General features: G+C 38.7%; 1 protein-coding gene across 65 annotated transcripts in view; it reads right to left on the bottom strand.

Moving 5' to 3' along the window:
* LTBP1 (latent transforming growth factor beta binding protein 1) overlaps window positions 1–12,758 on the bottom strand; it is a 452,557-nt gene that overhangs the window by 151,336 nt on the left and 288,463 nt on the right. For all 65 annotated transcript variants that reach the window (XM_011532853.3, XM_011532857.3, XM_011532861.3 and 62 more), the window contains one exon: window positions 4,390–4,512. In XM_011532853.3, the coding sequence (XP_011531155.1) occupies window positions 4,390–4,512 (123 nt within the window). The remainder of the gene's footprint in view (window positions 1–4,389; window positions 4,513–12,758) is intronic.

The raw sequence follows: 12,758 nt of genomic DNA, 5'->3' as shown, positions 1-12,758 counted from the left end.
TAATTATCTGGGAGCAAGCAGCTTGTACAGATCTGTCTCACCTCCGGGCCACGGTGCCATGAGACCTCCAAGTGAGGGAGGCTAGGGGCCTAACCTGAGATGGCCACAGAGAAGGTAGAAAGAAAAGAACGGGCATAAGATAAATTATGAAGACTAAATGTCATCCTTTGAAACCAAAAGATACAAAAGAGTCCAAGATGACACAGGCTCCCAGCCGGGGTGCTCTGGAGAAAATGTTACCATGGGCAAAAAATATCAAGTCTGGAAGGAAAGCCCATATTAACGGAAAAGCTGGAAAGCTAGCAGTAATTAACCCATTTGGCTTGCCAAAAAGGATACAAAACTACGCCACTCAATATGTTAGGCACTAGCCACATGTTGCTCCTTGGATAAAATTTAAATAAAAGTAAAAATTCAATTCCTCAGTTACACAGGCCATACATGACTAGTGGCTGCTGTATGAGGTGGCACAGATAGAGAATATTTCCATCATCTCAGATAGTTCTATTGGACAGTGTTAATTAGCTTGAGCGTCAGCAAACTTTTTCTGTCAAGCATCAGATAATAAGTATTTTAGGCTTTGTGTGCCATATGATTTCTGTTGTAACTTCTCAACTCTGTCTTTGTAATACAAAAGCAGCATTAGGCAATAAGTAAATGAATGGACATGGCTGTGTTCCAATAAAACTTTATTTTCAAAAACAAACAGATTTTTTCCCATGGGCTATAATTTGCCAACTCCTGATCTAGAACCCTAAATTTGGAGGCACAAATCCTGTTTTAAATCTCAACTCTCAGCTACTAGCTGTGTGAGAAGCTACTTAAACTTTCCTAGCTTTAGTTTCCCAATGTATAAGATAAGCATGGTATGTTTCTCATAAAGATGCTCAGGAAATTACAAATGAATGATGTACTTAATTAAAAGGCATTTGCCCTTTCTCTCATGACTTCCAGGACTACGGCAGAAGTTCCTGAGCACATCTTCTCTCTAACCCTCCATTTCTGTCAACTAGCTCCAAGTTGATGGGTGAAGAATACTACGAAAAGGCAAAAGCCCAGGCTCAGAATTCTTTTATCTGGGCCTTTTTACTGAACCTATGGACACATTCTCAGCAGCACTCATCCTGGAGCTCTGAAGTTCCTGCAGGAGTTCAGAAAGCCAGAAAGTCTTCCTACTTGGATTGCAAAGATGATACTTTTCTTGAATTTGCTCTGAAAAGTCCTCGAATTTCCACCTTTCCCCATAAATCAGGTAGCAACATGTCTGGAGAATGCTCCTACACCATCCTAAGCCTCAAACATAGAGGTCAGAGGCAGCAAATGCCAGCATTTGCCTGCTTTCTTCCTTTTAGCTTGGCTAAGCCAAGGCAAGCGGCAAGGAGAGAAAGTGAAATTGTTGCAACCTTTGGCTGCAGTCAAGGAATTCTGGGGGGTTCATCTCAGTTCAGTGCATTCAAGAAGAGAAAGTGCTTCCCGTTGTTCCTTGGCCATAACCATGTGCAGGAGTTCAGAGAGTCAGCCACACCTTGTATGCTCTGGATATGGCCTAAATTCATGCTGTCCTAGCAAATGTTGTCATTTGTCCTCCATTTGCCTGCAGGCTTCATCCCTGGCTGGTTTTCTCTCTCTCCAGAGCAAACATTTAGCAACCACTGTGTTGAGTGCCTGTGTGTGTGTCTGTGTGTGTGTGTGTGCGTGTGCGTGTGTGTGATCTCCAGTCCCCTCCTGCTATTTCCCTGTGACTACCAAAAATACCATTATCTTTTCATTTATTTCCTTTACTCTGTAAGTATCACCCTTTTCCCTAATTCCTTCTGTCTTCAGACTTCCCCCATCAAGCTCTTCACAGAATTCACCTGAAAATCAGACTGGACTGGTTCAAATCGCAAATCCTAAAGGAACTCTACATGTCTCTGTGATGTTACATGTGGTAAATTCAGAGGAAAGAGAAATAAATCTTCTCACTCAACACTGGTAAAGAGCCCAGGTTTTCACTTCGAACTCTCAACTGGAACACTTAACTAGCAACAAACGTCTCTTAATACTTATCAGTTCAGCTGTTGTAGCTGAACCATAAAATTGAATTATTTATTTTTCAAATAAGAATGGATGGTTGTTTAATAAGTTCAGAATTATTTGGGCAATGACAGGGAAAATAAATGCTAAGGAAATGTGCAAGTGTTTCAAAAATCTCATTGGCAGATTTCTATAATCTTATTAAAACCTGGATGTCTGCCCTCAACTCTAGACATCAGATCTGGTCAAAGTTTCACAGAGCGTTTTGTGACTAGTTCTGCAAGTTTACCTAATCAGCAACCTTCAATATAAGAATTGTAACCAGACTACAAGTCAAATTATAAAAGGGTGGAAAAAGCATTCACAACAAACTCTATATCCAAACTCTACAATCTTTACATTTAAATTATAAAATGATTTAACATATTTATTCATGTGATTCAAATCAGCCAAAAATGATCCCCTAAGTTATCTGGATGTCATCAACAATGTGATTTTTGGCCTGAAATTTCCAAATCCTTGCATCAGTTTCAAAGGTAATTTGTGTGCAAATGTAATTTTATGGTCTAATTTTACCACCCGTTAGGAAAGCCTTATAATTAGGTGTCTGTCTGCTTCATGATCAGAACTGTTTGTAAAAGAACACAGAAAAGAGGACTTACGTGTAAAACTTCCTAATCTGCAGTTGACAGTTTTTAAAGGAAAAGAGTAGTAATTAGTGATAACATTTCAAAAGACTCAACAAACTCACCTAAAAGTAATAAATGAGACTGTCATTTTTATTTTACTACATTTGTCTTTATTTTATCACCTCTACATATCTCACCTTAGGGCAAAGAGTTAAGAGAGATAAGCTTCGTTAAAAATGAATGGCAGTAAACTCATGAAGAACATGTCAACCAAATGGCAAATTTCAAACTAGACAAGAAAGATGCAGCTCATTATATACCAAAGCCACATTAAAAAATAAATAAAAGTGGCCGGGCATGGTGGCTCACACCTATAATCCCAGCACTTTGGGAGGCTGAGGCGGGTGGATCACCTGAGGTCATGAGTTCAAGACCAGCCTGACCAATATGGCAAAACCCTGTCTCTACTAAAAATACAAAAAATTAGCTGGGCGTGGTAGCACATGCCCATAATCCCAGCTACTTGGGAGGCTGAGGTAGGAGAATCATTGGAACCCGGGAGGCAGAGGTTGCAATGAGTGGAGATCGCACCATTGCACTCCAGCCTGGGTGACAAAAGTGAAACTCTGTCTCAAAAATAAATAGATAGATAGATAGATAGATAGATAAAAACAAAAACTTGCAGGAAAGAAACTAATACACAGTTGTTCTTAAAATTATCCTAATAGTTTTCTGCCATGCAGCCATTTAAATTGTATATAATCTTTAAAAATCTGCAGTGCTACAAGGCCCATGTCTATAGTCATGCTACTCAGCAGGCTGAACAGTGATCATTTGAGTCCAGCCTAGGCAACATAGCAAGACCCCATCTCTTTAAAAAAAATCTTACAGTGCTTACCTATAATAATGGGCATGATTACTTTAAAAATAAGACATTCTTAAAAATCTCAAATCTGCATTTGAGAACTTTACACCTAAAATGCATTCCTCTCTAATGGCATATGATCTGTAGTGATTACATGGATTAATTTACACGGAGAGGGAGTATCTCTTTGGTGAAACTATCTTTCAGAACCAATATTAGAACATGTGGTTTAATGAAGGATTTTTACCCTTATCAGAAACAAGGGAAAATCTCAGAAACATTTTTAAGGCAAAACAGTATAATTTAGGGTCATTTTGGTGGGTTTAAAGAACAAGACAATATCTGAAATTAGGACTGAATTAGAAAATCTAAAACACAGGGCCTTGGTAACTATTTTCCAGACTCTTACAATTGAGAAAGAAGTGAAACCTCATTAAATCAGAGTCCAGTGACTCAGAATTTGGAATAATTAAAGGCAGAAGCTGGGACACAGTTCAATTCAACCTAAAGAATGCTTAAAATACCGTATTTATGAAGGAAAAACTTACTGTCATCTCTCAGGTACCAAAAAAGTTTGATATGTCCATTTTAATTCTCTCTTTTCTTTTCATCAAAGCATATTTCCTCGGTGTGCTTAGTCTCTATTCAGAGTTTTAGCTATTATATTTTTATCACCACAATAAAAATGCATTTTAGAGAAGGTTCCATGATATCAATTTATTTTACTACATCAGGCAGGCCCCTTGCTTGTTATTTTAATTAATGAGGTTTTCCTGTATATTTACAAGCATTCAGTTGGCCACTGAGTATTTCCGTTCTTTTGGAAAAACCCCAAAGACAATTAATCCAAAACAGGAATAAAAAGTGATTATTACTTACGAACACAACTTGAAAAGGTAGGATCCGGCCCAAATCCTATTTTGCAGGTACATCGATAGCTGCCCATGGTATTCAAACACTCACCATTAGGGCATACACCTTGTAGCTGACATTCATTAATATCTGCAGGAAAACACAATTCTTTAGAAGGAGCAGTCAAGCCCCATTGAGCAGATTCTGGCTATACATTGCATTCACTTCCTTTTTCACTATAGTAATCTTTTAGTTATAGTGAAAAAAGGATGTAGCAGGTGTGAATAATCTTAAATCAGTTAATGTTTATTGAACATTTACAATTTATATAGCAAATATTTATTACATACCTACTACATGCCAGGTGCTAAGGATTTACTAGTGAAAAAAACTGATAAAAATTCTGGCCTTCACAGAGCTTTTGCTTTAGTGTTAGTTTATGTTAGGCATTATGGAGCATATAGGTAAGGCAAAGACTCTCACTCTAGAAGCACTGACAGTCTAACTATACATATGAATATTTGAAAAACTTAAGAAGTGAAAAGCAGTCCAAGTCATCACAAGAAAGAACTGTCATAAACTGTTAGAAGTTAAATTATGAAATTGCCTATACAGACAGTAAAAGCCACAGAAGGAAGCTGGAGGTGGGGCAGACTGTGGCACTGAGGAGGAGGTAAGGCTTTAGAGTGCTGATGTCTGGGCAGGAGCTGGATGGATGGGCGAGGAAGGGAAGGAATGACTTGTGTGGGAAACCCTGGAGCTTGAGCACAGAGTGTGGCCAGTGGATGGAGGCTCAGGAAATGATGAGTCAAACCACTGGCTGGAAAAGAAGATTCAGGAAGGTAAATAGTTGGAAACAGAGCTGGTACAATTCAGGCTGCATTTGGATTCAGTTTCATTGAGAACAGGGAGCTATATACTAAAGGTTTCTGAGCAGGAGAAAGAAAGACTCAAAGACAGACTCTAGGAAAATTCACCTGGCCAACACATGGCTTGTTGAGAAGAGATTAAAAGTCTGATCACTTGAAGGGGTCATGCAAGTATGAGGTTGGTAACAGCCAGGCTGGTGACAGTGAGAACAATCAGGAAGATAAAGAATGGACAAATCTTTTTTTTTTTTTTTTTTAAGAACAACTGAAAATGCATGGTGCTTGACTGGACTACACATCATGAGAAAGTAAGAGAAAGGAGTCAAGGATGTCTGGGAGGCTCCTAATCTAAGAAAAAAGGAAAAAAAAATCACAGCTGGTTTTGCGGAAGGAGTTCTGAGGAAGAAAGAAGGCAGGAAGAAGAGGAGTTCAGTTTTATAGTTCAAGGTCACATTGGGATACCCAAGTAGAAATACCCAGTAGCAGCAGAAGATTCAGAAATACAGTGAAAGAGGAAATCACTGCTACAAATAGACACTTAAGATACTCTGCATATGGAGATCCAGGGGGAAATCAAAGCGATTTGAAAGAGGAGAGATATAAATGAAGTGATTTTACAAAGAAAGATTATATAGTCACTTGCAAAGGTAATTAATTGAAAATCAAAAAGTTGGATACAATGGTAGCAAAACATTACTATCAGGATCATCACATAAAAAGAAAATACAGCCCTCAATCACTATTTAAGCAAATATTAACATTATATGAACATCAATATTTCATGTTCTAAGTAGGCATCGTGATCTATACGTACATATTTTACTCAGAGCATGCAATTTTTAAGTTAATTTCAGTGATAAAATATGATACCTTCCGTGACATTCAAATGATAAGTTAATGCATATTTGCTGTATAAATTCTATGGTGTTCCAACTTGCACGTAGCTGGAAACTGCTACAGCTAGATGACACCTGGTACGGCACACAGTACAGCACCTGACCATCTCATTATTTATTGAAGTGTGTGTTGTTCTGTAATGCACTTTTATGTACAGCATGTAACTGAAAATATTCCCCCGTAACTCATTCTTTTTAAGAAAACCACCATGAAGGACCAGGAAGAGTGCCAAGTCCAGTTGGAGCTTACACGGTACAAGTGAAGCCCTATTATATGTCCCAAGTAAAACCTCAAGTTTGGGTAACCAGCCAGTTGTGGTCAAGAAGGCTGGACAAAATTTCCACTCTTCTATTTCCCCTCATATCCTCACTAGGGTATGATTATTAGCATTCCTCTTCCCCTGAATGGCCTGTATTCCTGTTCATTGGCTGCACCACTACACATTCCATGATAAGATTGAGGACCCAGAATTTTCCCTTGCTAGGTGGTTTCTATAACAGCACCATCTCAGCCTTGCGGCTGGCTGCCAGGTTAATGTAGAGGTTTCCCCCCAGACTCATAAATACCTGATTTACAACCAATGCCTAGTACCCTCTTCCAATGCCCCTTCTTTGACTCTCCACACTGCTTACTGCCTTGACTCTGATGCCATGGGAATGGAGGACAGGAATTCAGACGGAAGAAAACAAACAAAATGACCAAGCAAACCTATCAGGTATAGACAGGAAGAAACAGAAACATCCACAAAGACGAAGAATCGTGTAAGACTCTTCCTGTTATGACTGTTTTAATCAGCTTGTGCCACCGGCACTGGCACCAACACTTCCCCTAATTTTGGCCCGAAGAACCCAGGAAGCCTGGGCCTTCCTTTGTGACACATTCTCACAGCTTCCAGAAAAACTGTTTCCTTCAACTGCCTTGGTTCATCTATTTTTTTATATTTCCTGAGCTACTACAAATTAGAGATTAGATTTCTGTTTCCTATATTTAACGTATATACACTAGAATATATCAATCTTAAGTATACAACTAGATGAATTTTTGCATATCTACTTGTGGTGTAACCACCACCCAGATTGTGATTAAGAACGTTTCTGGCCGGGCGCGGTGGCTCACGCCTGTAATCCCAGCACTTTGGGAGGCCGAGGTGGGCAGATCACGAAGTCAGGAGATCGAGACCATCCTGGCTAACACAGTGAAACCCCGTCTCTACTAAAAATACAAAAAGTTAGCCAGGCGTGGTGGCAGGTGCCTGCAGTCCCAGCTACTCAGGAGGCTGAGGCAGGAGAATGGCGTGAACCTGAGAGGTGGAGCTTGGAGTGAGCCGAGATCGCGCCACTGCACTCCAGCCTGGGCGACAGAGCAAGACTCCGTCTCAAAAAAAAAAAAAAAAAAAAAAAGAATGTTTCCATCACCTGAGAAGGTTCTTTGTGCCCCTTCCCAGCCAACAAACAACTTATCCCCATAATTTTAACATAGGACTTCAGAAATTAATAAATTAATAAGACATTTCTAATTATTAAGAAACAGGAGCAACTGCCTAAGTGATTTTTCCTAGACAGGTAGTCACAAGCTTTCTAAATTAAAGTAAAGGATGTCAGAGACTCACAAACACGTTAAGAACAAAGCATTGGTTGAACTGAACGCATTGTATCTGGATGAGAGAAGAACATTCCAAGTGATGACATCATCAGGCCAAAGTTTAACAACTGTTTGGAACGTGATAGGTGAATGGTAAACCAGAATTCTATTTAGACTTAACAACTGTATGGAATGTGATGGGTGAATGGTAAAGCAGAATTCTATTTATACTTAAAAACTGTATGGAACGTGATGGGTGAATGGTAAACCATAATTCTATTTAGACTTAACAACTGTATGGAACATGATGGGTGAATGGTAAACCGTAATTCTATTCAGACTTAACAACTGTATGGAACGTGACGGGTGAATGGTAAACCAGAATTCTATTTGGACTTCATTGCCTAAAGCTATCTTCTTTCTTTAATCAAATAAAACCTGATTACAATATTTGTCATTTTATAAATAGCTTATTTGTGAAGGAATAAATTCAAATAACAATATAGTGTTTCAGGAGTCTCATATTTTTATTTATTTATTTATTTATTTATTTATTTATTTAAGATGGAGTCTTACTCTGTCACACAGGTTGGAGTACAGCGGCACAATCTCAGGTCGCTGCAACCTTCGCCTCCCAGGTTCAAGCGATTCTCCTGCCTCAGCCTCCTGAGTAGTTGGGATTACAGGCACATGCCACCATGCCCAGCTAATTTTTTTTTTTTTTTTGTATTTTTAGTAGAGACAGGGTTTCACCATGTTGGCCAGGCTGGTCTTGAACTCCTGACCTCAAGTGATCCGCCCACCTCGGCCTCCCAAAGTGCTCAGCCTCCCAAAGTGTGTGAGCCACTGCATCCGGCCAAGTCTCATATTTTAAAGCGTCAACAAACCTTCCTCAACAGATTCTAACTAAATCAAAAGTATTTTAATATTTAGTTTGAAAAATACATGAATTTATTCCTTGTTCTCCCTCTATAGATGACAAATTTCTCTGGAAAACTGTGGAAGTCTGTCCTTTGAAGAAGTGGTATAACCACTGCATACAGAACAACTTCCTGAGTTAAAGAATGAAGGCCAAAATAAATGGCTGAAGGGGCTCAGCACCCACATACAGCCAGTCACCATTCCCTATCCCCATCTGAGCTTTTGTGTTCAGGCAGGCAGTCTAGAAGTTTACAGAAACAGAAACTAGGAAAGAAATTCATACGGACCCATGTGCTCCTCTGGAGTAGGCAAAATCCATGAAGCTACTACAGCTAACATGAAGGAGCTTTACATACTTTTCCACTTATTTAAAACATTTACAGGTATCTCTGCCTGTATAGCCTACCACATACTTCAGCTCACAGATGAAGTTCAGGAACACAAAACTGCTTTTCTTCTAAAACTGCTCTTCTTCTAAAATGGTCAAATATTGGCAATGTCCTATGGTTCAAACTAATACAACAGAAATAAGAGGGCTGGGCTTTTATTAACCAGGTAGTAGAAGAATATAAAGTAATCAGGTATACATGCATAACAAGAGACTCCCTATGAACAACCCAACATAAAACAGCCTAAGTATTTCAGTACATGGGAATGATGCGATAAGGTGACGATGAAGTGAGGACCTTCATCTTCCTTCTACCTCATCAGGATTCTTTACATTTCTATAGCACACCGTATCTCACTGGAACTTCACAACAATTCTGGATGGTGAGCAGTACAAGAATAATTATTCCATTTTACAGAGATAATTTCGTCCAAGGCCATATTTCTAAAAAGGATGGAGAGGATGGGGGAAAATAATAGGAGGAATATTCCACTAAGATCTAGCTTTTGGTCCAACTAGGACAAAATGTTATGTTACCCAGAGCAAGTCTCTGAGTTTCTCTTGATCTCAGTGTCCTCTCCTGTAACACAGAGGGGCTGAACTATATTATCCCCAAGGTTACTTGTAGTTTAAATATTCTCTGACTTCAAAACAATCTGCCAGTTGCCAGGGCTGAAAATGCCAGGGAATAAAGAAAGTATGACATTTGGTGCATAATATATTACGAACAGCACAAGTGCCCTTCTGGGAAATAAATATATTTTTATGCATCTCTTCTCCTACAGGAAAGTATGTATGTTTAACAAAGTGAGTAAGAATTTACTGTCTTCTTAGTGACGCAAGTTTATACAGGAAATGAGGCATGTCCAACAGGAGTCAGGACAAGGTAAGAACAGGACATGAGCATCTTTCTACTGTGTGAAAATATGAAGCTTTCTGGAGATTCATCTGTGTGTGTTCAGCTTTTGCTAGTAAATATAAATTCCATGACAGAATTCCATTAGCAGTATGCCTTCCACTTGAAAGCAGAAAAATACCTCTTAATACAAATACTTTTCCCAGACAGACTATTAAGTTATTTAATAAGGATCACTTAGACAATATATATATTTCTTAAACTTCCAAAGAACAACTTTGCACTGGGTAGACATACCACGAAGGAACATGAAGATATTCTATAGGGTACACACAGGCTTAGACACTTTTAAGGGAACTAATCTATAGATCTTCAGCCTTCAGATGTTTCTTTTTGAAGTCATCTGCCTAAGAATATATTTGCCAATCTTCCTTTCCTATCTTCCCCTTTCCTCAGGGCCTTCTTGCTCTTGACCAAGTCAAGGCATACCTCTTGTCAATCCAGAATCTTTCTAGGCCTTTCTAAGAACACTGTCTTGAAAGGTAAAATTCTCACAGGCACAGAATAAATGAACAATTCACAAATATATCAACCCCAGGATAGAGTCACAGAAAAAGTAATGAGTCCGATTTCTTTCATAAGAAGATCTGGCTTTACCAATTAGGTTAAATGGCAGAGACTGTTTATCAATGGCATGAACCAATTCTGCAGCTCCAAAGTTTTGATGAAATTATTTAATGCACACATACAATATAAATGTGCCAGAAATTAACCTATTGTATCCACTTGACTTTTTAATGAAAATGTAGATGTCAGCTTAAAGATATGTGAACACATAACTTTTTCAAAATTATTCTAGGAGATTAAGAAAAAAATATTTGAAAACCAATGTTCTAGAGCAATTTTACCCAAGGTATTTTACACAAAACACAGACTTTGTGAGACCTCTGCTAAAAGAGGGGTTCTGCAGCCAAATATGTTTGAGAAACACTGCCTATTCTATATACATAAGCATATTTAAAACCCGAAGAGTCCTTTGGCAAAATCTCTTGTTTTTCTGTGTTTAACTTGGTTTTTCTGCACATTTGGCTGTGGGACCCTTTTTAACACACAATCTATTAACATCCTTCTGAACTGGTCATCTGTGGAAACATTTTTGTGAAATGCTGCTCTCTGGGGCCAGCTTCAAAGACTATTGTATGAGTCTCTTCGTGATTATATTTGCTTCTATCTAGGCCCCACTGCCATTAAAAGCCTACCCACCACCCTGTAACTGTCCCATGATTATAAAATGACCATCCACCATAGGATGGATTCAATCACTGGACTCACTGAAAAAAGTCAAACCACTGTGGCAGCAACTCCTTTCCTTCCAATTCTTCTGTCTTCGGGGTAACATGATAAAGGAATTATCAGAGCCCAGAGAACAGCTTGTATTTATTTCTTGACACATGTGTGCTACACATGGACGACGCTGCTAGCAACACACACTTACTCTGTTGGTCTTGGATTCATGACTGTAGTCTACAGATATTACATTAACTTCTCCTTGAAATATTCACAGTAACATGAATCCATCATGGGCTTTCTTCATCACTCATAATACAGTAGGCATCTTCCCATTCATTTTATAGCCACAGAGATTAAGGTCAAAGAGCTATTGAAAAATACAATGTGCTAATGACTCACTTCACCACTGTCTTTCCTGAGGAAGAGTTAATAAAATAAACAGACATTTCCTTTTTGAAACCTATCCCAGCATAGTAAGAGGACACACCAGAAAAATAATTCTAAAATGCACAGGAATGGGTCCCAATTTGATTTGCAAATGCTGAAATAGGGTGCTCAGGTCCAGATCAAAAACTGTTTAAATTCTTACTGAAAATACTGTGCACATTTAAACTAGAAAGTGCAGCAGTAGTTCTAAGAGGATGACCAGAACAGTTAACACCTTCAAATCAGTAAATTATCTATCAGTTCCCACTGAGCCATTGACCACTGTAAAACATGATCTGGCATCAAACTAAGTACATGACAGTTTCTGAGATTAAATGAAAATACAATAGAAAATTATGATTAACCTCTGGCAGGCTAAACAAAAGGAATATTAAACATTTCTAAGTGTTTTGAAGAACAGAATTATCAAGTCTGGTTGACCGCAGTCTTAGTTCTTACCTGTTGGTTTTCTACTATTATTTCCAAAACATATACCAAGAACAATATATTCTAAGTTTCATCTTTTTTAAAAATTATATTTAAGTTCTTGGATACACGTGCAGAATGTGCAGGTCTGTTACATAGGTATACAAGTGCCATAGTGGTTTGCTGCACCCATCAACCCGCCATCTACGTTAGGTATTTCTCCTAATGCTATCCCTCCCCTAGCCCACCACCTCCCAACAGGCCCCAGTGTGTGATGTTCCCCTCCCTGTGTCCATGTAATCTCACTGTTCAACTCCCACTTATGAGTGAGAACATGTGGTGTTTGGTTTTCTGCTTCTGTGTTAGTTTGCTAAGAATGATGGTTTCCAGCTTCAGCCATGTCCCTGCAGAGGACATGAACTCATCCTTTTTTATGGCTGCATAGTATTCCATGGTGTATATGTGCCACATTTTCTTCATCCAGTCTATCATTGATGGGCATTTGGGTTGGTTCCAAGTCTTTGCTATTGTGAACAGTGCTGCAATAAACATATGTGTGCATGTGTCTTTATAGTAGAATGATTTATAATCCTTTGGGTATATACCCAGTAATGGGATTGCTGGGTCAAATGGTATTTCTGGATCCAGATCCTTAAGGAATCACCACACTGTCTTCCACAATGGTTGAACTAATTTACACTCCCACCAACAGTGTAAAAACGTTCCTATTTCTCCATATCCT

The sequence above is a fragment of the Homo sapiens genome, chromosome 2, assembly GCF_000001405.40.
Source record: "Homo sapiens chromosome 2, GRCh38.p14 Primary Assembly".
In the NCBI taxonomy this organism is placed as follows: domain Eukaryota; kingdom Metazoa; phylum Chordata; class Mammalia; order Primates; family Hominidae; genus Homo; species Homo sapiens.
Note: the sequence above shows the minus strand (reverse complement) of the source record. Positions and strands in the feature narration are given on the sequence as shown.